This window comes from Homo sapiens, chromosome 4 (assembly GCF_000001405.40).
Source record: "Homo sapiens chromosome 4, GRCh38.p14 Primary Assembly".
NCBI classification, from domain to species: Eukaryota; Metazoa; Chordata; class Mammalia; order Primates; family Hominidae; genus Homo; species Homo sapiens.
Window position 1 is genome coordinate 41,326,927 of NC_000004.12, and position 2,008 is coordinate 41,328,934.

Genomic DNA, 2,008 nt, shown 5'->3' on the forward strand with positions numbered 1-2,008 from the left:
GTAGGAGGTTTCCTTTTAGGTGATGAATATTCTAAAATTGATGGTGGGGATGGTTGCGCAACTTTGTGAATATACTAAAACCAATGAGTTGTATATTTTAAATTGGTGGATTGTATCACATATGACTTATATCCTAATAAAGCTGCTAAAAAAATGAATTGAAAAAATATTGGTTACTTCCTCCCCCCAAACTATTATTCAACTACATGCACATCTTATATATTGCAGATATTTTTATTTTATTTTTAATTATTTTAAATTTATTTATTTATTTTTTGAGATGGAGTCTTATTCTGTCACCAGGTTAAAGTACAGTGAGTGGTGCCATCTCAGCTCATTGCAACCCTCGCCTCCAGAGCTCAAGCAGTTCTCTCACTTCAGCCTCCTGAGTAGTTGTGACTACAGGCACGTGCGCTGTGCACTGTTAATTTTTTTTAATTTTTGGTAGAAATGGGGTTTTGCCGTGTTGTCCAGGCTGGTTTCAAACTCCTGAGCTCAAGTGATCCATTCACCCTGGCCTCCCAAAGTGCTGGGATTACAGGTGTGAGCCACTGTGCCTGGCCCAGATATTTCAAAAAATTTGAAGCAGATATTACATATAGGTTATCTAACTTTTCCTCCTAAATATGTATTAGGTGCCTACTTTGGTCAAACTACTGAAGCAGTATTGTTTGTCTGGGGTAATACCCAAGGTTCATTGTCCCACGCCAAGGAAATCAAGGACACGGACACACAAGGAGTGAGGTTAAGAGTGGAAGTTTAATAGAGAATTGCTTGAGCTCTGGAGGCAAGGGTTGCAAAAGAAAGAGAAAAGCTCTCTCCTGTAGAGAGAGGGGTCTTGAGCAGGTCTTCCAGTCCCCGGTGAAGTGTAAGAGGTTTTATAGATGAACTTGAGGAGGTGGTGTCTGATTTACATAGGGCATGAAAGATTGGTTGAACAGGGTGTGACATTTGCATAGCACACGAAAAACTGGTTAGGGCTAGGTGTGCCATTAGCATAGTGCATGAGAATCTGGCCACCCCCAGCCTAATCTTTTATTATGCAAACGGGTTCTCTACCTGGCAGGTGCCATGTTACCTGTTCCTTTACTATACACATGGTGACAAAGAAAAGAGAAGATGGAGCCCCCGTGTTGAACATGACTGACCCTCAGATAGCCCTTTTCTACTGGCACAGCTGCCGGCATTCACCAGTGCAAGCTTCCAGCTTACTTATCTATGTCTGCAGCTCGATTTTTCAGGCTGCTCTTTGTTAGAAGAGAAATGATTTGGAGGCTGCTTTTTGTTAAAAGGGAAATTCTGCTGAGGATTCTGTTGCCCTTACTATCTGCCTAAATAATTTCTACCTTCTGTATCAGTACCATGGTAGGATACTGTGGAAAGACAAAGATGAATAAGGTATATCCCTTCCTTTGAGAAGCTTCAATATGATCATTTCCATTCATTTGACTTCTAGCTGCTGTGGTCTGTAAATGGTAACAATTATTTATTTCACCTGTCCACATTAACATCACAAACTTTAGTGAGTTGAAAGTAGCAGTTAAAATAATCGAGAGGATGGACGGATTCTGTAAGAAGTCATACTAAAAGGATTTAAACTTTTTGGCCTGTGAAGATGAATGTGGAGAAGGGCTAAATTGGCTTGAACTGAAATGTATGTTCCAAATTAGGAATTCTCAACCTTGTAATTTTTGAAGAATCTCTGTTCCACCCTATATTCATTAAGCCAGACTCTGGGTGTAAAATGCAGGCATAAATAGGTCTTTAAAACTTCCCAGTTGATGGCAATGTGTAGCTGAGGTTGAAAGTTACTGGTGTAGGTGCCTTAACTGAGTAGTTTCCTGCAAATAAGAAAAGTGATATATTATAAAGGGCGAGCAGTTAACCCAGGTATATGCTTTACCCATCAAAGAGTATTTTTGGAAGGCTCAGCCATACTTGGTGTGACCTTCCTGGGTGAAGTGGCAATGCTAACATAGTAGGTGGCTCCCAATGACCTATTTGTGAC

At 40.4% G+C, this 2,008-nt stretch overlaps 1 annotated feature.

The window, feature by feature from the left end:
• Window positions 715–1,375: an enhancer, noted in NCBI's record as "OCT4-NANOG hESC enhancer chr4:41329658-41330318 (GRCh37/hg19 assembly coordinates)". NCBI's record gives its function as "activates a minimal SCP1, AML or CMV promoter by ChIP-STARR-seq in primed H9 embryonic stem cells {active_cell/tissue: H9 hESC(primed)}" and the evidence as "EXISTENCE:reporter gene assay evidence [ECO:0000049][PMID:30033119]".